Source organism: Homo sapiens, chromosome 17 (assembly GCF_000001405.40).
Source record: "Homo sapiens chromosome 17, GRCh38.p14 Primary Assembly".
Taxonomy (NCBI): Eukaryota; Metazoa; Chordata; class Mammalia; order Primates; family Hominidae; genus Homo; species Homo sapiens.
The window spans coordinates 59,250,493-59,276,536 of NC_000017.11; the positions used below are offsets into that span (position 1 = coordinate 59,250,493).

Here is a 26,044-nt window from a genome sequence, read left to right on the forward strand (position 1 = left end):
TAGTCTCAGCTATTTAAGAGACTTGAGGTGGGAGAATCCCTTGAGCCCAGGAGTTCAAGGCTACAGTGAGCTATGCTCACACCACTATGCTCCAGCCTGGGTGACAGTGAGACCTTGTCTCAAAAAAAAAAAAAAAAAAATCCTTTGAGGAAAAAAAAAGTTTTATTTGTTTTCCTGGGTTTGTATGTCCCTCAGAAAGTCATGAAACTGTTTTTTCTTTCTTTTGAGGCAGAATCTTGCTCTGTTGCCCAGGCTGGAGTGAAGTAGCTCAATCTCAGCTCACTGCAACCTCCACCTCCTGGGTTCAAGGGATTCTCATGCCTCAGCCACCTGAATAGCTGGGATTACAGGTACCCGCCACCATACCCGACTAATTTTTGTATTTTTAGTAGAGACGAGGTTTCACCACATTGGCCAGGCTGGTCTTGAATTGCTGGCCTCAACTGATTTACCTGACCCCCCCTTGCCCTCCCAAAATGCTAGGATTATAAGCATGAGCCACCACACCTGGCCAATTTTTGAATGTGAAGAGACCTTTGAGACTGTCTAATCTTGTCTTCTGTTATAGACAAGGAAATTGAAGTCTAAAGATGCAAATTAACTTAATCAATTTCATATAACAAGGAAATAACAATGCTAGAACTTGAACTAGGTCTCTATCTTAGCAGACCAGTGTTCAGCTGTACCATACTCCCTCTCCATTGGAACACTATTCCCAAATGTTGTATTAAGAACAATGCTGTGGGTCCAGTGCAGTGGCTCACGCCTGTAATCCCAACACTTTGGGAGGCCGAGACAGGTGGATCACCTGAGGTTAGGAGTTCGAGACCAGCCTGGCCAACACGGTGAAACCCTGTTTCTACTAAAAATACAAAAATTAGCCGGGCATGGTGACATGCACCTATAATCCCAGCTACTTGGGAGGCTGAGGCAGGGGAATCACTTCAACCTGGGAGGCAGAGGTTGCAGTGAGCTGAGATCACGCCATTGTACTCCAGCCTGGACAACAAGAGCAAGACTGTGTCTCAAAAAAAAAAAGAACAATGCTGTGGAAAAAAAAAAGAACAACACTGTGTACTGTCAAGTTTCAGACATCTGAAAGAAATAATAATAAGCTTTCATTTTATATTGCATTCATCTCATGTCATAATTGACTTTAGGACTGATCCTCAAATGTGAAGTTGACTGCATTTGGAACAGACTAATAAACCGTGTGTAAAAACTTGACTCAGAACAATGGCAGTGGCTCACATCTGTAATCCCAGCACTTTGGGAGGCTAAGGCAGGAGGATCACTTGATCCCAGGGGTTCGAGACCAGCCTGGGCCACATACAGAGACTCCATCTTTACAAAAATAATAAAAATAATATTAGCCAGGCATGGTGGTATGCACCTGTGGGCCTACCTAGGGAGGCTGAGGTGGGGGGATTGCTGAGCCCAGGAGGTTGAGGCTGCAGTGAGCCATGATTGTGTCACTGCACAAAGTGAGACTCAGTCTCAAAAAAAAAAAAAAAAAAAAGAGAAAAGAAAAGAAAACAAGAAACTTGACTCAGATTAGTCAAAAAGTGGTTCCGTTTTTTCTATCCTATTCCCTTGCATAGAATTCTTGCTTACCAGGCTGGGCACGGTGGCTCACACCTGTAATCCCAGCACTTTGGGAGGCCGAGGCAGGTGGATCACTTGAGGTTAGGAGTTTGAGACCAGCTTGGCCAACATGGCGAAACCCTGTCTGTACTAAAAATACAAAAATTTTTAAATTTTTATTATTGTTTTTTGAGATGAGCTTTTGCTTCTGTTGTCCAGTGGCACAATCTCAGCTCACTGCAACCTCTGCCTCCCAGGTTCAAGCAATCCTCCTGCCTCGGCCTCCTGTGTAGCTGGGATTACAGGTGCCCGCCACCACTCCCAGCTAATTTTTGTATTTTTAGTAGAGACGAGGTTTCACCTTGTTGGCCAGGCTAGTCTTGAATTCCTGACCTCAGGTGATCCACCCACATCAGCGTCCCAAAGGGCTGGGATTAGTCATGAGCCACCATGCCTGGCCAAAATACAAAAATTAGCCAATTGTGGTGGTGCACACCTGTAGCCCCAGCTACTCGGGAGGCTGAGGCTGGAGAATCACTTGAACCCGGGAGGCAGATGTTGCAGTGAGCAGAGATCGTGCCACTGCACTCCAGCCTGGGCAACAGAGCGAGACTGTCTCAAAAAAAAAAATACGCTGAATTGGCCTGGTGCGGTGGCTCACGCCTGTAATCCTTACACTTTGGGAGGTTGAGGCAGGAAGATCACCTGAGGTCAGGAGCTCGAGACCAGCCTGGCCAACATGGTGAAACCCCGTCTCTACTAAAAATACAAGAACTAGCTGGACATGGTGGCGTGCGCCTGTTATACCAGCTACTTCTGAGGCAGGAGAATCGCTGAAACCCAGGAGGTGGAGATTGCAGTGAGCCGAGATCATGCCACTGCACTTCAGCCTGGGCAACAGATCGAGACTGTCTCAACAACAAAAAAAAGTGTTAACCAAATGGTTTGTTATTATCTATCCTGATTATTTGAAGGTAACCTTTTTTTTTCATGGAAAACACAAAATTTGGATAATCTACAGTTGACTATAATTATTGTTTTAAAGTTCCCCAAATAGTGAAAACTATTTAAATAGTGGCCCCTAACTTGCATAGGGGCCACTATTCCATCAACCAACACATCCTATGGCATACTCCTTGTCTATCTTTCCTATTTCCTGTTATTTTCCTCTTTTCTTTTTGTAGTCCACCACTTCCTAGCTGGTTATCTTCTGCCTAGAAAAATACTGGGGCAAACTTCTCTTTTTCCAAATGTTTTTCTACATTCTAAGCTGGCTGAGGCATCTAATTTATGTATTATTATTTTTAAGTAGAGATCAGGTCTCGCTATGTTGGTCAGATTGGTCTTGAATTCCTGGCCTCAAGCAATCTTCCCACCTCAGCCTTCCAAAGTGCTGAGATTACAGGAGTGAGCCACTGCACCTGGCCTAATATTTGTATCTTTACATCACTATAGCACTTTTTTTGCCTCAGCACACATTTTAGTTTTCTCATTCTCTCGCTGTTAGATAGAATATTCTTATGTATTTTTTTGCTGTTCCAAAGTTAGTTTCATCTGTTTGACCTTTTTGTAAACTGATTCTTACATGCATCTTACTTGACTGCTAAATTAATTTTTTAATTTGCCCACACCGTGACAAAAAGGCAGTCTTCCTTATGAGCTTCAAGCGTGAAGTCCCGGAGAAAGACACTGATTGGCCCAGCTTGGGTCATGTGGCCATCCTGAAGAAAAGAAATGGGCTATTATGATCATATGCCCATCCCCGAGGGTGAATGGACAGTGGGTACTGTGGTGACAGCTCTATCACAACAATGTGAGATGTGAAATACAGGTTTCCAAAGGAAGGAAGAATGTTGGGTAGGTAAAAAACATGCTGGATAATGCCTATAATCCCAGCATTCAAGGAGGCCAAGGTGAGAGGATCCCTTGAGGCCAAGAATTCAAGGCCAACCTGGCCAACAAAGCAAGACTTCATCTCTACTTAAAAAAAAAAAAAAAAAAAGGGCCGGGTGCGGTGGCTCACGCCTGTAATCCCAGCACTTTGGGAGGCTGAGACAGGCGGATCACCTGAGATTGGGAGTTCAAGACCAGCCTGAACAACATGGAGAAACCCCGTCTCTACTAAAAATACAAAATTAGCCAGGCGTGGTGGCAGATGCCTGTAATCCCAGCTACTCTGGAGACTGAGGCAGGAAAATCACTTGAACCCGGGAGGCAGAGGTTGCGATGAGCCGAGATGGCACCGCTGCACTGCAGCCTGGGTGACAGAGTGAGACTCCGTCTCAAAAAAAAAAAAAAAAAAAGAAAAGCCAAGCGTGGTGGCACATGCCTCTAATCTCAGCTATTTGGAGGCTGAGGCAGGAGGATCACTGGAGCTGAGGAGTTCAAGGCTGCTGTGAGCTGTGGTCATGCTACTGCACTCCAGCCTGGGTGACAGATTGAGACCCTGTCTCAAAATATATATACATATATATATAAGCTATCTACTATAAACATAATTTTTAGAGTTTAATTATGTAGCCTATGATAAGTTTAAACTCTTTCAGTTATAAGTGTTAGATGCACATCTCAAGATAGCTTAAGAAAAAAATTAAAAATGAATATATTGGTTTTCATAATTAGAAAGTCCAGGGGTTATATGCCCTCAGACATGACTGATTCCAGTTGCTCAAGCAGTAATTGGTCTCTCTCTATCTCCGTTTCTTGCTTTTGCTTTCATTTGTGTTAGCTTTGCTTTTAGGGACACCCTTTCCACAGAGATGAACTCTTGGCAGCTTGTACATGATCCGTTCAGCAAAGGATTTCAAGAGGCTTCTCTCCCAGTGTCCATATTGTTATGCTTAACAGGTTAGACTGGTCATATATTTAGTCTGTGGTCAGAGAGGCAGAGCCAATGATTGACAGTCCCATCAGAGTAACCCAGAGCCCCATCAGAATTACAAGAAGTATAGTAACAGACTTTTCCTTTTTTTCCCCTTTAATGTACATGCTGCTTTTCACACAGGGTATAATTATAAATAATTTAATTTTCTGACATGGATTTCATTTACTTTTTGATAATGCATCTTTATTTTGATTTGCCATATAATAAGACGGAATAAAGGATTTTCACCATTTTGTTATTTGCAGATTAGTGGAATTGAAGGTTCAGACGGAAGCAGAACAATTTTTACAATAGTTATATAGTATGTATAGTAAATTATATAAATGATTAGAGTAATTAGAGTCAAAAGGGACTAGAGAGCCAGGTGTGGTGGCTCACACCTGTAATCCCAGCACTTAGGGAGGCTGAGGCAGGAGGTTTGCTTGAGATCAGAAGTTCAAGACCAGCCTGGGCAAAATACAGTGAGACCCTGTCTCTACAAAAAATAAAATAAACAATAGGCCGGGCACAGTGGCTCACGCTTGTAATCCCAGCACTTTGGGAGGCCAAGGCTGGTGGATCACCGAACGCCAGGAGTTTGAGACCATCCTGGCCAACATGGTGAAACCCTGCCTCTACTAAAAATACAAAAAATTAGCCAGGTGTGGTGCCGGGCGCCTGTAATCCCAGCTACTTAGGAGGCTGAGGCAGGAGAATCACTTGAACCTGGGAGGCGGAGGTTGCTGTGAGCCGAGATCGCACTATCGCACTCCAGCCTGGGCAACAAGAACGAAACTCCGTCTCAAAAAAAAAAAAAAAAAAAATATATATATATATATATATATACGCGTATATATGTATATATATATATACGCGTATATATATATACGCGTATATATATATATATATATACACACGTATATATATATATATATACACACACACACACACACATATATATATATGGGCGTGGTGGTGCATGCCTGTAGTGCCAGAGGATTGCTGGAGTGTGGGAGGCCGCAGTGAGCCATCATCATGCTACTGCACTCCAGCCTTGGCTATGAGCAAGATCCTGTCTCAAAAAAACAACAAAAAAGGGACCGGGTACATGGTTCATGCCTGTAATCCCAGCACTTCGGGAGGCCGAGGCGGGCAGATCACTTGAGCTCAGGATTTTGAGACCAGCCTGGCCAAATGCAAAACCCCATCTCTACAAAAACTACAAAAAAATTAGCCGAGCGTGATGGTGCTCCTGTAGTTCCAGCTACTCAGGAGGTCAAGGTGGGAGGATCACTTGGGCCCAGGAGGCAGAGGTTGCAGTGAGCTGAGATCGTGTCACTGCACTCCAGTCTGGGCGACAGAGTGAGACCCTGTCTCAAACAAACAAACAAACAAAAAAGAGACTAGAGAAAGACTAAAGAAAATAATCCTCAGGAAATATAAAGAACAATTAAAGTCCCCTTCTAATTTTTTCATTACTTGAATTTTCTTTGAATAACTGCATTCATATAATTCTTCAACACATTACTGATTTAGTGTATACTTCCCTTGCCTGAATGTTATTTTTAATCTCTGAAAAAGTCAATGATGATATAGCAAAACTTTAGAAACAATCTCAGTATCTACTAGTAGGGAAATGGTTAAATTAAAATAAATTATTGTATAGCTACTCAATGGAGTATTTTGACATCTTTTAAAAAATTATGATAGAATCAGATCGGTGGATTGTATCAATGTCAGTATCATGGTTGTGATATTGTACTATAGATTTGCAAGAAGGTTACCACTGGGAAATCTGGGTAAAGGGTACATGGACCCTATTATTTCTTACAATTGATTGTGAATCTGTAGTTATCTCAAAATAAAAAATTAATAAATCATAATCATAAGCACAGTAAATCAACAGGAAAATATTTATTTTTATGTGAAAATATCAAGTTAAAATCTGTAGCACATCATATTATTAGTATATTAAATCATGCATAGGAAAAAAGAGTAGAGAAAGTACACCAGATGGTCATAGCATTTATATCTAAGTTGTTGGATTTACATGATTTTTTTCTTCTCTATACTTTTCCTTATTTTATAAATGTCCTTTAATGAATATATACAATACCTTCTCTAGTCATCAAAAAGTAAAACTTATATTTAAAAAATACATTTAAAAATCTTGCTTTCTCAGCATGCCAGTGTGAAGGAAAAGATAACCGAATTCCATTACTGAAGGAAGTTTTTGAGGCCTTTCCTAACACTCCCATTAACATCGATATCAAAGTCAACAACAATGTGCTGATTAAGAAGGTACTCAAGGCATTGCCTCCTCTGGGTGTGTTGCATCCTATTTCACAAACTAAATAAGGTTAGAGTCAGTGACTGCATAGATTGATAATGCTCAAGGAAATGTGATACCCTAGGGATCAGCATTGTTTTAAATAATGCCTTAGTAGAAGAGATCATTTTACTGTAGGAGAGAGCCTATTTTCAGAGAGAGTTGGCATGTCATGGATAAAATAAGGTTGTATGAACCAATCATTCTGGCATTTATGTAATTATCTTCTAGTTTAACTTGTTTCATTCATGGTTAGTTTATGTCAAATTACTAAATAACTCTATTCTGTTAAATAAATTATATAATGATATAATGTGAATAAATTTTGCATTTTATAAAATATTCTAAATTTACATATTGATTCTTCCAAAAGTTATGCTATTCATTCACAGATAGTCAATTCTAATTCATTTTTTAAGTGAAATGTTGTTAGTGGATTTGCAAATAGGCACATGCATAAAATTTTGAATTTTCACACGTAGGTTTCAGAGTTGGTGAAGCGGTATAATCGAGAACACTTAACAGTGTGGGGTAATGCCAATTATGAAATTGTAGAAAAGTGCTACAAAGAGGTAAGCTTCAAAAATGATACAGAATTATCTATCTTTGTTGTTGTTTTGTATCTACAAATGATAAGTTATTATAGTAATAATTTTTTTTCTTTTTCTTATTTTTAGAGATAGGGTCTCACCCTGTCACCCAGGCTGGAGTGCAGTGGTGCAATCATAGCTCACTGCAGCCTCAAACTCCTGGGCTCAAGTGATCCTCCTGCCTCAGCCTCTCAAGTAGCTGGGACTACAGGCACACACCACTGCACCCAGCTAATTTTTAAATCTTTAGTAGAGATGAGGTCTCACTATATTGCCCACTCTGGTATCAAACTCTTGGACTCAAGCAATCCTCCTGCCTTGGCCTCCCAAAGTGGTGGGATTACAGGTGTGAGCCATTGTGCCTGGCCCTTATTACAGTAATAATTTTTAAAGCATCTTATTTCAGGCCGGGCGCAGTGGCTCACGCCTGTAATCCCAGCACTTTGGGAGGCCAAGGCAGGTGGATCATAAGGTCAGGAGTTCGAGACCAACCTGGCCAATATGGTGAAACCCTGTCTCTATGAAAATATAAAAATTAGTTGGGCATGGTGGCACGTGCCTGTAGTCCCAGCTACTCAGGAGGCTGAGGCAGAAGAATCACTTGAACCCGGGAAGCAGAGGTTGCAGTGAGCTGAGATCATGCCACTGCACTCCAGTCTGGGCAACAGAGCAAGACTCTGTCTCAAAAAAAACAAACAAACACTTATCTTATTTCATAGCCTTCATACACAGGTAGATGGTACTGGGTGGAAGCAACTAGCCAGAAGTTTAATATAGTAGAGATAATGGATTTGAACCTAGCAATATAAGGTCAATGCAGTTGAACTGGTTCAAGGAATTATTATTTTCACATGCTAATGTTAGTTGCTTACCAATATTTCATTATGTGTATTAAAGGAAAAAATACAGTTTCTATCTTTTAATCACTGTCTTGTGTTAGGTAATTAAATTTTTTGTGTGTAATTTTGAGTTAAATTATTTAGCTGGGCATGATGACTCATGCCTGTAATCCTAGCACTTTGGGAGGCCAAAGTGGGAGGATTGCTTGAGCCCAGGTGTTTGAGACCAGCCTGGACAACATAGTGAGACCCCCTTTCTATTATTATTATTATTAATTATTTTTAATTTTCTTTTGCCTGTAACACAGCCCTCAGGAGATCCTGAGAACATGTGCCTATTTTTTTTTTAAGAAAGAAATTATTTAAGGGGTGAAGATTGCTTGAGGCCAGGAATTTGAGACCAGCCTGGGCAACATAGTAAGACTTCTAACTCTATTAAAAAAAAAAAAATCCTGGGCACAGTGGCTCGCCCCTGTAATCCCAGCACTTTGGGAGGCCGAGGCAGGCGGATCACCTGAGGTCAGGAGTTCAAGACCAGCCTGGCGAACATGGCAAAACCCCATCTCTATTAAAAATACAAAAAATAGAGGCCGGGCGCGGTGGCTCACGCCTGTAATCCCAGCACTTTGGGAGGCCGAGGAGGGCGGATCACGAGGTTGGGAGATTGAGACCATCCTGGCTAACGCGGTGAAACCCCGTCTGTACTAAAAATACAAAAAATTAGCCAGGCGTAGTGGTGGGCGCCTGTAGTCCCAGCTACTCAGGAGGCTGAGGCAGGAGAATGGCGTGAACCCGGGAGGCAGAGCTTGCAGTGAGCCGAGATCGCACCACTGCACTCCAGCCTGGGTGACAGAGCAAGACTCTGTCTCAAAAAAAAAAAAAAAAAAAAAAAAATACAAAAAATAGCCAGGCGTGGTGGCGTGCTCCTGTAATTCCAACTTCTAGGGAGGCTGAGGCAGGAGAATTGCTTGAACCTGGAAAGCAGAGGTTGCAGTGAGCCGAGATGTCACCAGCCTGGGTGACAGAACAAGACTCCATCTCAAAAAAAAAAAAAAAGAAAGGAAAAGAAATTATTTAGGGTCAGGCTAAGTGGCTCACACCCCTGTAATCCCAGCACTTTGGGAGGCCAAGGCGGACAGATCACTTTGAGCCCAGGAGTTTGAGACCAGCCTAGGGAACATGAGGAAACCCCATCTCTACTAAAAATACAAAAACTGGCTAGGCATGGTGGCACATGCCTGTAGTCTCAGCTACTTGGGAAGCTGAGGTGGAAGGATGGCTTGAGCCTAGTAGACAGAGGTTGCAGTGAGCCAAGATCCTGCCACTGCACTCCAGCCTGGGTGACGGAGCCAGACCCTGTCTCAAAAAAAAAAAAAAAAAAAAAAAAAAAAAAAAAAAAAAAATCCTATTATCTATAGCTTTAGCTTCTTTTTACCCTAAACTTCCAAATAGATTTAAGCAAGTTAAGCCAAGATCATGCAAGATCATGATTATTAAGCAAGATATAAAAGCAGGACCATCTATCTACCCACTGAAAATTTTCTGGTTAAAGAAAATATGTCGGCCAGGCACAGTGGCTCACGCTTGTAATCCCAGCACTTTGGGAGGCTGAGGCGGGTGGATCACCTGAGGTCAGGAGTCTGAAGCCAGTCTGGCCAACATGGTGAAACCCCATCTCTACTAAAAATACAAAAATTAGCCGGGCATGGTGGTGCGCACCTGTAATCCCAGCAACTCAGGAGGCTGAGGCAGGAGAATGGCTTGAACCCAGGAGGCAGAGGTTGCAATGAGCTGGGATCGCACCACTGCACTCCAGCCTGGGCAAGAGACCGAGACTCTTCTAAAAAAAAAAGTGTATAAAAATTAATTTTATATGCTTTAAAATGATAGTTAAACCTTCATAATCAAGTTTACATACATCATCAGGTAAGAGAATTTGAAATTTAAGATGTTAAAAAATCTTGAGCATTGAAGATGCTGAAATAATCTGTAATATAGAAGAAATATCATGATGTAAGTAGCAATTTTCAAATACAAAGAACTCTTTGGTGGCTGATCTGAGTGTAATGGTGTTTACAATTAATTGATTACAACCAGTTACAGATTTCTTTATTTCTCCACTCCCACTGCTTCATTTGACTAGTCTTAAAAAACAAAGAAACAAAACAAACAACCTCTTTGGGCAAGCCTTCCTTCCTAACAGAGAAGGCAAAAACATGCACAGTCAGCATCATCACAATTCAGAGTATAATTGAGATTCCCACTAAAGCAAGTAAGTTTGTTGTGGTTGTTGTTTTGGAGACTCCAACTCAGGCTGGAGTGCAGTTGCATGATTTAGGCTCACTGCAACCTCTGTCTCCTGGGTTCAAGAGGTTCTCCTGCCTCAGACTCCCGACTAGCTGGGATTGCAGGTGCGTGCTGCCATGCCCAGCTAATTTTTGTATCTTTAGTAGAGATGGGGTTTCGCCATGTTGGCCAGGCTGGTCTCGAACTCCTGACCTCAAGTGATCTGCCTGCCTCGGCCTCCCAAAGTGCTGGTATTACAAGTGTAAGCCACCACACCTGGCCTAAAGCAAGTATGTTTTATGTGCAGCAGGGGCTGAGAGATCCCAAGGTAGCTGTGTACAAAAGGGAAGAACAGAGCAATCACTGGACTGAGTGGCTTTAGATTCCTAAGAACTTAGAACTTAGACTCTTCCATAACTCCCAGCAATCTTAGGCATTTATCCCAGAAAAATGAAATACATGCTTACAAAAACCTATAAATGATTTTTTTTAATTTAATGATTTATTTTATTATTATTATTATTATTATTTAAAACAAGGACTTGCTCTGTCACTGAGGCTGGAGTGCAGTGGTGTGATCTTGGTTCACTGCAGCCTTGACTTCCTGGGTTCAGATGGTCTCCTGCCTCAGCCTCCTGTGTAGCTTGGACTACAGGTGCATGCCATCATGCCTGGCAAATTTTTTGATTTTTTTTTGCAGAGACAGGGTCTCACTTTGTTGCCCAGGTTGATCCTGAATTCCTGGCCTCAAGTGATCCTCCCACCTCAGCCTTTTGAGTAGCTGGGACTACAGGTATGTACCACCATGCCTGGCTAATTTTTAAATTTTTTGTAGAGATGGAGTCTCACTGTATTGGCCAAGCTGGTCTCAAACTCCTAGGCTCAAGCAATCCTCTTGTCTCGTTTTCCCAAAGTGCTGAGATTACAGGCTTTTTTTTTTTTTTTTTTTTTTGAGACGGAGTCTCGCTCTGTCGCCCAGGCTGGAGTGCAGTGGCGGGATCTCGGCTCACTGCAAGCTCCGCCTCCCGGGTTCACGCCATTCTCCTGCCTCAGCCTCCCAAGTAGCTGGGACTACAGGCGCCCGCCACTACGCCCGGCTAATTTTTTTTTGTATTTTTAGTAGAGACGGGGTTTCACCGTTTTAGCCGGGATGGTCTCGATCTCCTGACCTCGTGATCCGCCCGCCTCGGCCTCCCAAAGTGCTGGGATTACAGGCGTACAGGCATTTTTTTAAAAATAAAAATACGTTACCAGGGAGATGCAGCCTTCCATGTAAAATGAAGGCACATTCCCTAAAACCTATACATGAATGTTTATAGCAACTTTATTCATCAAAGCAAAATCCTGAAAATAACCTAAATGTCCTTCAGTGGGTAAATGACTGAACAAACTCTGACATTTCCATACAATGGAATATTATTCAGCACTAAAAGGGAATGAACTATTGATACATGCAACGAACTGGATGGTCCTCAAAGACATTATGCTTAGTGAAAAAAATCAACCTCAAACTGTATTGTAGATTCCATTAACTGTAGCCTGGAAGAGCAGATTTAGGGGACAGGGACTTAGGGTAGGGTAGAGAGTGGGTACCACTACAAGAGATTTCTTGTGTAGTGATGAAACGGCTTTGTATCTTGGTTTTGTTTTTTTTTGTTTTTTTTTTTTGAGACTCACTCTGTCACCCAGGCTGGAGTGCAATGGTGCGATCTTGGCTCACTGCAACCTCCGCCTTCCGGGTTCAAGCGATTTTCCCGCTTCAGCCTCCCGAGTAGCTGGGATTACAGGCGCCCGCCACTAAGCCTGCCTAATTTTTGTATTTTTAGTAGAGATAGGGTTTCACCATGTTGGTCAGGCTGGTCACAAACTCCCGACCTCAGGTGATCCGCCCACCTCGGCCTCCCACAGTGCTGGGATTACAGGCATGAGCCACCGTGCCCGGCCACAGCTTTGTATCTTGATTGCGGTAGTGGTTACATGAATCTATACATGGGTTAAAACTGCATAGAACTACACACACACAAATGAATGCGGTGTTTAAAAAATGATGAAAATTGAATAAATTATGTAGTCTAATGAACAGTAAGGTACCAATGTCAATTCCAGGTCTTGATACTATAGTATAGTTACATCAAGTGTCACCTTTTGAGGAAGCTGGGTGAAGGCCACATGGGACTATACTATACTACAGGTATGTACCACCATGCCTGGCTAATTTTGAAATTTTTTGTAGAGATGGAGTCTCTCTGTATTGCCCAGGCTGGTCTCAAACTCCTAGGCTCAAGCAATCCTCTTGTCTCATTCTCCCAAAGTGCTGAGATTAAGTCTATAATTCTTTCAAAATAAAAGGCTCACTTTTGGCCTGTAATCATAGAACTTTTCCCTTGATTTCCATACTTTTCCAAACATCACAGTAAAAATGTCTCAATAAAATTTGTCTTTCATATTGCCAACATACTATATAATTGATACAACTTTTGCAATTCTTTTTTTCCTTTCCTTTTTTTTTTTTGAGACGGAGTTTCACTCTGGTTGCCCAGGCTGGAGTGCAATGGCGCAATCTCGGCTCACCACAACCTCCACCTCCCGGGTTCAAGCGATTCTCCTCCCTCAGCCTCCCGAGTAGCTGGGATTACAGGCATGCACCACCACGCCCAGCTAATTTTTTGTATTTTTAGTAGAGACGGGGTTTCTCTATGTTGGTCAGGCCGGTCTTGAACTCCCAACCTCAGGTGATCCACCTGCCTCGGCCTCCCAAAGTGCTGGGATTACAGGTGTGAGCCACCACGCCCAGCCTACTTTTGCAATTCTTACAGTATGATTTATAAGAATTTTACATCAGCCTTTTAATTTCCAGATGTAAACCCAAAATATAAACATTAAAGGAATTGGGGCACACAGTGGTAGTGGGAAAATGTGGCGCTTAATGACTTTTCATTCATTCACACTTAACGCAGTGGTTCTTTCTTTTAGTGCTGTGGTTCCAAAGTTGCATAAGTATTTTTAATTTAATTTTATTTTATTTTATGTTTTGAGACAGAATGTCGCTCTGTCACCCAGGCTGGAGTGCAGTGGTGCAATCTTGGCTCACCGCAACCTCCGCCTGCTGGGTTCAAGCAATTCTCCTGTCTCAGCCTCCTGAGTAGCTGGGATTACAGGCACACGTCACCATGCCTGGCTAATTTTTGTATTTTTTAGTAGAGACCGGGTTTCTCCATGTTGGTCAGGCTGGTCTTGAATTCCTGACCTCAGATGATCCACCCGCCTCAGCCTCCCAAAGTGTCGGGATTACAGGCATGAGCCACTGTGCCCAGCCAAGTTTTTTTTTTTGAGACAGAGTCTCACTCTTGCCCACACTGGGGTGCAGTGGCACGATCTCAGCTCACTGCAACCTCCACCTCCCAGGTTCAAGCAATTCTCCTGCCTCAGCCTCCAGACTAGCTGGGATTACAGGTGCCTGCCATCACGCCTGGCTAATTTTTGTATTCTTAGTAGAGAGAGTTTCATCATGTTGGCCAGACTGGTCTCGAACTCCTGACCTCAAGTGATCCACCCGTCTTGGCCTCCCAAAGTGCTGGGATTACAAGTGTGAGTCACCGCACCTGGCTGTAAGTTTTGAGGGTCAGCCCCTAACCCTGTTTTCCCATAAGCTCTGTTATCCTTAGTGTATGATTTTGCAAAACTCAAGATTTTGCAGTGACTTGTATATTTTGTTACAGCTGAAACACCTGTATGTAAGTAAGCCAAGAACATTACAAAGCACCATGTAAACAAAGGGGCAAAATAAATTCTCAAACTTATTTACTCTATTTTTTAAAAAAATAAAGGAGTAGATAATTTAGAACTATTTATTTATTTATATAATTTTTTAATTTGAGACAGAGTCTCACTCTGTCACCTAGGCTGTAGTGCAGTGGCTCAATCTTGGCTCACTGCAAGCTCCACCTCCTGGGTTCAAGAGATTCTCCTGCCTCAGCCTCCCGAGTAGCTGGGGTTACAGTTGTACGCCACCACGCCCGGCTAATTTTTGTATTTTTAGTAGAGGCAGGATTTCACCATGTTGGCCAGGCTGGTCTCGAAGTCATGACTTCAAGTGATCCACCCGCCTTGGCCTCCCAAAGTGCTGGGATTACAGGCGTGAGCAACCGCGCCCAGCCTAGAACTAACTATTTAAAATAAATTATTTTTATGTGATTTTTAAAAATATATATTATGTTTTTATTAAAAGTTCACTGTAAGCATAATTTTTTTTTCCAGTAAATATAGCAGGGCCTGGCATGGTAGCTCACGCTTGTCATTCCAGCACTTTGGGAGGCTGAGGTAGGAGAAATGCTTGTGCCCAGGAGTTCAAGACCAGCCTAGGCAATATAATGAGATTCTGTCTCTACAAAAAATTTTTAAAAAATTAGCTCGGCATGGTGGTGCATGTCTGTAGTCCCAGCTGTTTGGGAGTCTGAGGTGTGGGATCACTTGAGCCTGGGAGATCTAGGCTTCAATGAGCCATGATCCAGCCACTGTACTCTAGCCTGGGTGACAGCGAGACCCTGTCTAATATATATATATCTATATATAGTACACATAGGAGGGCAAGGAGAGAGGGAATGGAGATTTGTTATTTAATGGTATAAAGTTGGCCAGGCAAGGTGGCTCACACCTGTATTCCCAGCACTTTGAGAGGCTGAGGCAGGTGGATTGCTTGAGCCCAGGAGTTCGAGACCAGCCTGGGTGACATGGTGAAACCTCATATCTACAAAAAATACCAAAAAAAGTAGCTGGGCATGGTGGCACACACCTGTAGTCCCATCTATTACAACTCAGGAGGCTGAGGTGGGAGTATTGCCTGAGCCAGGGTCGAGGATGCAGTGAGCTTTGGTTGTGCCACTGCACTCCAGCCTGGGTGACAGTGAGACCTTATCTCAAAAAAAAAAAAAAAAAAAGGCATAGAGTTGTTTTCACTTTTGCAAAATGAAAAGACTTCTGGACTTTGGTTGCACAACAGTGTGAATATACTTAAAACCACCAAACTGTACATTTAAAAATGATTGACATTCAATTTTGCTGGGTGGCGGGGGGTGGGGGTGGTGAGAAAATAGATTTAAAAAATGATTAAGATCTTAAATTTGGCTGGTGCGGTGGCTCACACTTGTAATCCCAACACTTTGGGAGGCCAAGGTGGGCAGATCATCTGAGGTCAGGAGTTTGAGACCAGCCTGGCCAACATGGTGAAACCACATCTCTACTAAAACTACAAAAAATTAGCTGGGCATGGTGGTGTGCGCCTGTAATCTTAGCTACTTGGGGGGCTGAGGCAGGAGAATTGCTTGAACTCAGGAGGCAGAGGTTTCAGTGAGCCGATATTGTGCCACTGCACTCCAACCTGGGTGACAGAGTGAGACTCCGTCTCAAAAAAAAAAAAAAAAAAATCTTAAATTTTGTGTTATGTGTATTTTAGCACAATTAAAATTATATATATATGTATGTCTATCTTGTATTTTTAAAGTTTTGGGATATTGAGCATATTTTCCAATAGAAACTTAAAATGGTGGTTAGATTCTTGGATTAGTTTACAAATCCTATTTATATTTTATATTTGATTCATAACATAGCTAAAAGATGACACATTTGCAACAGTATTGATATGTATCTATATATACTCATATATAGAGATATATAGCTACATATTTTTTAAACAGGAGTAAAGTTACTGAATATTCCATATATTCATCTTTTCATTTTGTTCCATTGGATTCTGACATGTTTAGTCTTTAGCTGTAAGTACTGTAACCAACGCAGAAGTGGTATTGCAAAAGCAGAGACGGTAATAGAGAAATTTTAGTAACATCATTATACTATGAGGCTCCAAGATCAATCCTGACCCATTTATCAAGGACTAGCCACTATTAAGTGTGGTGTTATTTGCAAATGAATATTCATAATCCCAGGAATGCTTGTAATAGATTTCAACACATTGTCTTGGGAAATACTGAGAGTTGTGAAGTAATCCTCTTTATTTGAGCAGTTGTAAAAATAACATGTAATATTGCTTGTGTCTTTTAGAATTCAGATATTCCTATACTCTTCAGTCTACAACGTGTCCTGCTCATTCTTGGCCTTTTCTTCACTGGCCTCTTGCCCTTTGTGCCCATTCGAGAACAGTTTTTTGAAATCCCAATGCCTTCTATTATACTGAAGTAAGTGGTTACCCTTTTATTTTAAAATCAATTATCAATTACAGAAAGACTAAGATAAAAGCTCACTAATATCAATATCAATGATGAAGAAGAGATTTCTGTAGTGATTTCCATGTTCTATTACCTGACCTATATTATGCATTTTTATATAATTAAGACACATTCTCTAAAACAAATAATCAGGACCCATCTCAGATTATGATTTTCTGTGCCTGTATAGTCAGAAATCAGATAAAAGGAATTTAATTTAATTACAGAAGGTAAATAATTATTTTATTCTCACATCAAATAGCAGTTGCCCTCCACTTTCCCTTATTGCTTTCTACTTCATTGACAGCTTTACCCAGCTCAAATTCCATTAAACTCCAAATTAAACAATGGTATTACTGTAATACATTTAGGAAGAAAAAACCACCACCACCATAAAAACCTCTGGAGATAGGAAAATAAAAGGGTATAGTTAGTTTATATAGGATACTGTTTTTATAGTGGTTTTTTGTTTTTTTTTTTTTGAGATGGAGTTTTGCTGTTGTGGCCTAGGCTGGGGTGCAAAGGTGTGATCTCGACTCACTGCAACCTCTGCCTCCCGGGTTCAAGTGATTCTCCTGCCTCAGCCTCCCGAGTAGCTGGGATTATAGGCGCCCACCACCTTGCCTGGCTAATTTTTGTAGTTTTAGTAGAGATGGGGCTTCACCATGTTGGTCAGGCTGGTCTCCAACTCCTTACCTCAGATGATCCACCCACCTCCTCCCAAAGTGCTGGGATTATAGGCGTGACCCGCCTTGCCCAGCCAGGATCCTTTTATATTTACGTAATTCCACTACTAGAAAAGCCTTGCATTTCACTTGCTAATTTACTAGCAAGATAAAAATACATAGATTGTAAAAATACATAGGTACATAAAAACACTTAGATTGCCTGACAAATACTAAGCACTCAAGAGTGATAGCTTTTATTGTTATCTTTGTTATTATAAAGAATGATAGCTTCATCTCAAAATTCTACACACGTAGAATGTGATTTCTAGCTGTAGATTCATAACTGAATTATGGCAAAGGAATTTGGAATCGTTGGGGAGATGATTTAAATGTGATTTTATTTGCATGAAAACACTTTTCATGGCCGGGCGCGGTGGCTCACGCCTGTAATCCCAGCACTTTGGGAGGCCAAGGAGGGTGGATCACGAGGTCAGGAGATCGAGACCATCCTGGCTAACACGGTGAAACCCCGTCTCCACTAAAAATACAAAAAAAAATTCTCCGGGCGTGGTGGCGGGCGCCTGTAGTCCCAGCTACTCCGGAGGCTGAGGCAGGAGAATGGCGTGAGCCTGGGAGGCAGAGCTTGCAGTGAGCGGAGATTGCGCCACTGCACTCCAGCCTGGGCGACAGAGCGAGACTCTGTCTCAAAAAAAAAAAAAAAAAAAAAAAAGAAAAGAAAACACTTTTCATATCCAACAGAACTTTAAAAAATCAAGCTGAAGAGCTTTCCTCTTTTATAGCATGTCTCAATAAAGGTAATGACTTGGGGGAAAAAAATAAAGCTGAACGTTAGTGTAGCAGTCATCAGACAATATTGCTAAGAAAAGCAGGCCAGGTGCAGTGGCTCACGCCTGTAATCCCAACATTTTGGGAGGCCGAGGCAGGAGGATCACGAGGTCAGGAGTTTGAGACCAGCCTGGCCAACATGGTGAAACCCCATCTCTACTGAAAATACAAAAATTAGCCAGGCTCGCCTGAACACGGGGGGCAGAAGTTGCGGTGAGCCAAGATCGCGCCACTGCACTCCAGCCTGAGCGACAGAGCGAGACTCCTTCTCAAAAAAAAATAAGAAAGAAAAACAATTGGCCGGGCGTGGTGGCTCATGCCTGTAATCCCAGCACTGTGGGAGGCTGAGGCGGGTGGATCACAAAGTCAGGAGTTCAACACCAGCCTAGCCAACATGGTGAAACCCCGTCTCTACTAAAAATACAAAAATTAGCCGGGCACAGTGGCAGACACCTGTAATCTCAGTTACTCGGGAGGCTGAGGCAAGAGAGTCGCTTGAACCCCAGAGGTGGAGGTTGCAGTGAGTCGAGATGGCTGCACTCTAGCCTGGGCGACAGAGCAAGACTCTGTCTCAAAAAAGAAAAGAAAAGAAAAACAATTTAGTCAGTACTCTTGTGCTCAACTTCTATTTCATGCCTGTTTTCCAATTTCAGTATCTTAGTGATAAACATGTTTATTTTATTTATTCCTAAATTATATTTATGAACATCTTTGTAGCTGTTTCTCAGACAAAACAATAGAAAACGCTTCTTGTCTACCCCCCCCCCCAAAAAACACCCTATTTTATTTGCTAGATTAAAATGATCCCTAAACATTTATTCCTGGCTGGGCCAGGGGCTCCTGCCTGTAATCTCAGCACTTTGGGAGGCAGAGGCAGGCGGATCACCTGAGGTCGGGAGTTCCATACCAGCCTGGCCAACATGGTGAAACTCCCATCTCTACTAAAAATACAAAATTAGCTGGGCATGGTGGCGCACATCTGTAATCCCAGCTACTCAGGAGGCTGAGGCAGGAGAATCGCTTGAACCCAGAAGGTGGGGGTTGCAGTGAGCCGAGATAGCGCCATTGCACTCCAGCCTGGGTGACAGAGCAAGACTCTGCCAATAAATAAATAAATAAAACATTTATTCCTAAAGTACTTAGCTTTCCTCTGGCCTGGAGTGGACTGTTTGCTCTATATTTATCTTCATATGTTCCTTTTAGAAGCAAATATTGTTGAAATACAGACATAAGAACAAACTCCACAGAATTAATATTTTCTCTAAAAAGTGATTATGGATTAAGACACAAGCAGGATATATTTTGTGTGTTTTAATACTTCTATAGAAGACAATGGATATTTTCTAAGACAATATAGTGATTGTTTAATGAGGTAATCAGTATTTGAGCTACTAAATCCCTAATATTCCTGAAATTGCAACCAGGACTTTCCACTGGGGCCAGAGTTAGGGAAAAAAGGACTTGTACTTTATTTTGTACTTTTTTTTTTTTTTGAGACAGAGTTTTACTTTGTCACCCAGGCTGGAGTGCAGTGGCGCAGTCTTGGCTCACTGCAACCTCTGCCTCCTGGGTTCAAGCAGTTCTCCTGTCTCCGGCTCCTGAGTAGCTGTGATTACAGGTGTGCGCCACCATGCCCGGCTAATTTTTATGTTTTTAGTAGAGACGGGGGGGGGTTTCACTATGTTGGCCAGGCTGGTCTGGAACTTCTGAACTCAGGTGATGCACCAGCCTCAGCCTCCCAAAGTGCTGGGATTACAGACATGAGCCACCATGCCTGGCCTACAGATATTTTAAAGGAAAGGAAAACACGTGGTAAACTGCTCACTTTGATCTATAATACAGTTCCGTTGTATGTTTAAATTTGCCACATACTAAATTGTAGGAGACAAAGCAGGAGAAAGATTTCACCAAAAAAGAAACGAGATATGAGCCTAGGGCACCAGGGTCTCTGGAAAGACAATATTTATTTATTTATGTATGCATTTATTTATTTATTTATTTATTTATTACTTTTGAATAGGGATGGCAAAAAGTTAGCTTGAGACCAGTGCAAACAGAACCCAACTGGCCTTTATTTTATTTTTGTCCTTTTTACAAATATTTTTTGAGAATATACAAAGTACAAGGCACTGTTTTCATTTTTGAATTTGTTTCATTTTATCACACTGATATATTTCTGTGTTTCTAATTTGTAATTCAAACTTTATTTTACCCTAGGCTAAAAGAACCACACACCATGTCCAGAAGTCAAAAGTTTCTCATCTGGCTTTCTGATCTGTAAGAATTTTAATTTCTTAATATGCAAGTTATTGCTTCAGCTATATTTATTAAATACTACCCTTAAAATGTTGTGCAAGCTTTCCACATGTAATTTGTAACAAGGACAAATTGAGCACCTGCTATGTAAAATGTGTATGAATCATTTAGAAATATCTTAATTACTAATCACAAAATCTTAGGAAGAATCTTGAGAGATAATGTCCTCCAACTTCATGAGAAAACTGAGCCCCCATATACCCAGTTAAATTATTTACTTGGGGTTATCTAGCTAGTTAGTAGCAGAACTAGGTTAAATAACCATTCCCTTTAGCTTACTTGCTGGTGAAAAGAAGTGTAGCAACACAGTATATATAAAAGTGTATGTTGCCTACAGCACATTTCTCAGAAAAATTTGCTCTGCACCAAGACTTAACAGCAGAAAGGAAATCCCACCTATAGAGTGGATATCAACTTTAAAGTAAATGCCTTAATTTAGACATGATGAGTTTAATTTTAGTAAAAATCACTAAATAATTGTACTATATTTTGCTTTAAGATGGAACCTTGAATGCTTAAATATTTTAATAGTCCCAAATCACAACTTTTTATTATTTAACGCCTTTTCTTCTTATTTTATTTTATTTTATTTTATTTTATTTTATTTATTTATTTATTCATTTTTTGAGATGGAGTCTTTCTCTGTCGCCCAGGCTGGAGTGCAGTGGTGTGATCTCGGCTCACCGCTTCCTGGGTTCAAGTGATTCTTCTGCCTCAGCCTCCCGAGTAGCTGGAACTATAGGTGCCTCCCACCATGCCTGGTTAGTTTTTGTATTTTTTAGTAGAGATGAGGTTTCATCATGTTGGCCAGGCTGATCTCGAACTCCTGGCCTCATGTGATCTGCCCACCTCAGCCTCCCAAAGTGCTGGGATTACAGGTGTGAGCCACCGCGCCCAGCCTTAACGCCTTTTTCAAAGAGTCTTAAACAATTAGTTTTATCTTTTCTCTCTGTCAGTGTTTATTCTTTTTTGCTTTATTCTTGATTTAAGCTCTAGTTTTCAAGGATGCCTTTTTTTTGTACTCAAGTAAAACCAGGATGCATTTTTTTTCTTTTTTCAACCCTATTAACTGACAAGATGCATTGTTAATTGGTGTTAAAAGCACATGATTTCTAGTTTCTGTTATTTAATCATTCTAATAGACATAACAGAATAGAAATAATGTCTTTCCAGTGCAATGAATTCCTATCTTGCTCAAGAGGTTTGTATTTTGAAAGTTCACTTATCAGTGAGTTACTTGGAACAAAAAAATATTTTTTCCCTAGACATAGGATAGTGTAATTAATGGACATAATGCTTCTAACATCGCTTACAAAAGACTAATCCATTGTGTAATGAACTATGATGTTATAGAAATTGACCTGCATTTGTTGACTTATTTTAACTTGGAAAGTTAGGAACACACATTAATAGTAAGAAAGGAAAGCCAGCTCTTTCTCCTTCTTCAGCAGTGAAAATGAGGCAGCCTCTTTTCCATTGAGCTGTGCCAACAAGAATGGGTCTCCTATGAATCTGGTAGCAGCAAGAAGTAGAAAGGAGGTTCTGGTTGTCCACCAACCAGCAGCCTGCAGTGAAAGGAGATCCAGCAATTAAGACATAAATTAATTCACAACAGCTATTATTACTTGAGACCATTTCTTTTATTGCTGAAGCATTGGGATTAAATTAAACTGGAATTACTAAACTCTAAATTGACTAAATTAGGACTAAGGACTAAATTCCTAAATCAGTTTTGCTTTTTCTTTTCTAGCTTACTAATGAGGAAAGCTTTGTTTGACCACCTAACTGCTCGAGGCATTCAAGTAAGTTTCTGGAATGATGCATTTTGGAAGCAGCATAGCTCACCAGTTTAACACAAATATAAAGGGCAAGAACTTTTAACTGACTTAGTTTGGCCCTTGACTCTGATGCTGCTGCTTTACTGATCCACAAATGAGGACCTTAAGCTCTTCCTTACACTTAGCAATAAAGCATTGGCATTTCTGGATCTAGATTCCTCTTATGTACAGAATAGCTGATGCCAGAGGGGTGGGACAGTGTTTGTGTGTGTGTATATATATATAAATATATGTATGTATATTTCTTTTTTTACTTTTTTCTTTTTTTTTTTTGAGATGGAGTCTCACTCTGTCACCCAGGCTGGAGTGCAGTGGTGCAGTCTTGACTCACTGCAACCTCCACCTCCCAGGTTCAAGCAATTCTCATGCCTCAGCCTCCTAAGTAGCTGGGATTATAGGCATGCACCACCATACCTGGCTAATTTTTGTATTTTTAGTAGAGACTGGGTTTTGCCATGTTGGCCAGGCTGATCTCGAACTCCGGACCTCAGGTGATCTGCCTGCCTTGGCCTCCCAAAGTGCTGGAATTACAGGCGTGAGCCACCGCGCTCAGCCAGGAGTCTGTATATTTAACAAGCACCATGAATTTTTTTTTAACACTCCTCATTCCTGTAAGGAACAAAGTGGAATTTTAAAAAAGGATCTAATGATTTATTTAAATGATAGCTTTAAAAGGTTATTTCTAAATGTACCAAGACTGTAGTGGATAAATACTGTTATAAAAATAATTTTCTATTTTAACATTTCTTCTCATACTTCTCACACTTCTAATTTTCAGGTGTATATTTGGGTATTAAATGAAGAACAAGAATACAAAAGAGCTTTTGATTTGGGAGCAACTGGGGTGATGACAGACTATCCAACAAAGCTTAGGGATTTTTTACATAACTTTTCAGCATAGAAAAAGAGGTACTTAGAAGTATTGAAGGAAAAAATGAAGACCTAAGAAAAAAATATTTCATGATCATTTCCCTAAGCCATTTCCAGAATGGTAAAAGGTTTAATCAGTTTTTATTACCTCATTTTTAAGCCTGTATGAGAATGTAGAAACTATATATTATATGTATATTTATTTTAAATAATATTGTATATTTTATGTTTGTAAATTGTTTAGAAAGATAATTGGTTATGAGATGTAAGTTTTAATTTCTTAATGTGCATTTTTGTTTCTAGATCTTATACAGAAATCTTGATTAATAACATACACAGAAATGTACATACTACATCATCTACAGAAATCTTGATCAATAACCTAGAAACTAGGTTATCTAGGTTATTGATCAAGATTTCTGTAGATGATGCAGTGTTCTATCATAAGTAATTCTGGAATCAAAGACTATTGGATACATTTGGCATTGGGCTGAGTGTGGTGGCTCATGCCTGTAATCCCAGCACTTTGGGAGGCTGAGACAGGCGGATCATCTGAAGTCAGGAGTTAAAGACCAGCCTGGCCAACATGGCAAAACCCCATCTCTACCAAAAATACAAAAATTAACCATGCGTGGTGGTACACGTCTGTCATCCCAGCAGCTCTTAAGGCTGAGGCACAAGAATTGCTTGAACCCGGGAGGCAGAGGCTGTAGTGAGCCAAGATAGCACCACTGCACTCCAGCCTGGGAGACAGAGTGAGACTCCGTCTCAAAAAAAAAAAAAAAAAAAAAAAATGGGAGGCCGAGGCGGGCGGATCACGAGGTCAGGAGATCGAGACCATCCTGGCTAACATGGTGAAACCCCGTCTCTACTAAAAATACAAAAAATTAGCTGGGCGTGGTGGTGGGCACCTTAGTCCCAGCTACTCGGGAGGCTGAGTCAGGAGAATGGCGTGAACCCGGGAGGCGGAGCTTGCAGTGAGCCGAGATCGCGCCACTGCACTCCAGCCTGGGCTACAGAGCAAGACTCCGTCTCAAAAAAAGAAAAAAAGAAAAAAAATTGGCAATAGTCTTCACTGGAATACAATCAATTAGTAAAAGATTTTTTTTTTTTTTTTGACATGTAGTCTTGCTCTGTCGCCGAGGCCGGAGTGCAGTGGTGCGATCTTGGCTCACTGCAACCTCTGCCTCCCAGGTTCCAGCAATTCTCCTGCCTCTGCCTCCCGAGTACCTGGGATTACAGGTGCCTGCTACCATGCCCAGCTAATTTTTGTATTTTTAGTAGAGACAGGGTTTTGCCACGTTGGCCAGACTGGTCTCGAACTCCTGACCTCAGGTGATCCACCCACCTCGGCCTCTCAAAGTGCTGGGATTACAGGTTTGAACCACTGCACCCGGCCAGTAAAAGAAATTTTGAAGGCCATTGCAGCTATTTGGTAGTGTCTTGTTATTTCTAGGTGTACCTTAGTTAAAGAGGAAAAATAAAACGGAAAAAAGCTTGGAAATCAGTGATGTGTAGTTATTTGGCAAGTTATACATAATCAGCAGCAGCCAGGCTCAAGAAAATAAAAGTTGATTAGTTGATCAGAAATAAAATCTGTAGAGTGAATTAGATTTCTGAGTTGTTGTTGTTAATGGAACATTCTATTTGAGACCTTTTTCAGGTGTGTAGCAATTCTACCATGTCCATTTTTTTAAGCATTAAAAAGGAACTTACCAGTTGTAAATTAAGACAAGATCCAAATAGTCATATTTTTGTGTTTCCTCTAAAAAAATGTAAGATTTCCATTTTTGGCACTGACTAACTGAGCCTACATCTAGATTTTAAATACCATCTTGAATCCTAATAATTAAACTGATGAAAGTGCATATCATTGTTCCTAACATTTATGAACCCCCATAAAGATGTTCCTGATCTTTAAAACTCATTAATCTGAGTATTAAGTAGAAACAGAATTTTCCAAAGCATTAGACATCACTTTCTCAGTTTATCTGAGGTGACTTCGTGTACATCTGTTTCTAATATATTTGACTAATTTTCATGATCTCAGATTGTGAGGTAAATGTAATCTGGAATAATAAGTGTCTTTTACCTAGATTACATCTCTCATTTGGAGTTTGGCAATGAAACTGCTATGAAGAATGACTGTACTCTCCTATCTGTCCCTGGATGACATAAATATCATTTGCTTTGTTGTTTAAACTGAAATAAAGTTTTCCAAGAACAAAGTAAGCATTCTTCATTCTTTTTCAGTTTTAATTCCAAATATACTTTATAGATTTTTTTGCAGAATTTAATGAGGTGATGCTTTAATCATATGAATAATAAATGCACCTGAGATTTCTCTCTAGTAAAGAAAAGAAAATATGGAAACACTTTTATGGTAAGAAAGTTACTTCTTGGCATTTGAACAAATAACTTGGGAGGGTAATCCACTGAATCAGTCATTTTCAATTTCACTTATTGTAACTTATGGTTATAGTTGCTAGGGATCATTTTGATCATCTTTGATAGAATTCTTTTTGTTATTTCTCCTTTCTAAATTTTGCTTTGTTATGATTCAGAACAGATCATATTAAAGGGCCAGCTTATATTTTATGTAAACCAGTAGAAGAAAAAGTACCCAACAAGGTAAAGATGTTTAGAAAATAATGTTTCAAAAGTTTGGTGATTTTATAGTCAAGGTGACTTTAATTTTCTTAATAAAAACATAGTATTTTCTAACAAGGAAGTTGGTCATCATTCAGTTAACATCTGAATTCTGCTTTTTGATAGGGGCATCAAGTTTTTTGTT

The 26,044-nt window shown here is 40.8% G+C and overlaps 1 protein-coding gene across 4 annotated transcripts in view; it reads left to right on the forward strand.

The window, feature by feature from the left end:
- The window catches only part of GDPD1 (glycerophosphodiester phosphodiesterase domain containing 1), a 55,460-nt gene extending 29,982 nt beyond the window's left edge, over positions 1-25,478 (forward strand). Inside the window, exons 1-7 of one of the 4 annotated variants that reach the window (XM_017024521.2) lie at positions 4,115-4,431; positions 6,630-6,748; positions 7,259-7,348; positions 16,549-16,682; positions 20,444-20,503; positions 22,293-22,344; positions 23,159-25,478. In XM_017024521.2, the coding sequence (XP_016880010.1) occupies positions 4,344-4,431; positions 6,630-6,748; positions 7,259-7,348; positions 16,549-16,682; positions 20,444-20,503; positions 22,293-22,344; positions 23,159-23,281 (666 nt within the window). In that variant the 5' untranslated portion in view covers positions 4,115-4,343 and the 3' untranslated portion in view covers positions 23,282-25,478. Of the gene's footprint in view, positions 1-4,114; positions 4,432-6,629; positions 6,749-7,258; positions 7,349-16,548; positions 16,683-20,443; positions 20,504-22,292; positions 22,530-23,158 lie in introns of those variants that run through there. The other 3 variants (NM_182569.4, NM_001165993.2, NM_001165994.2) reach the window with 3 other exon arrangements.
- The last annotated feature ends 566 nt before the right edge of the window (positions 25,479-26,044 follow it).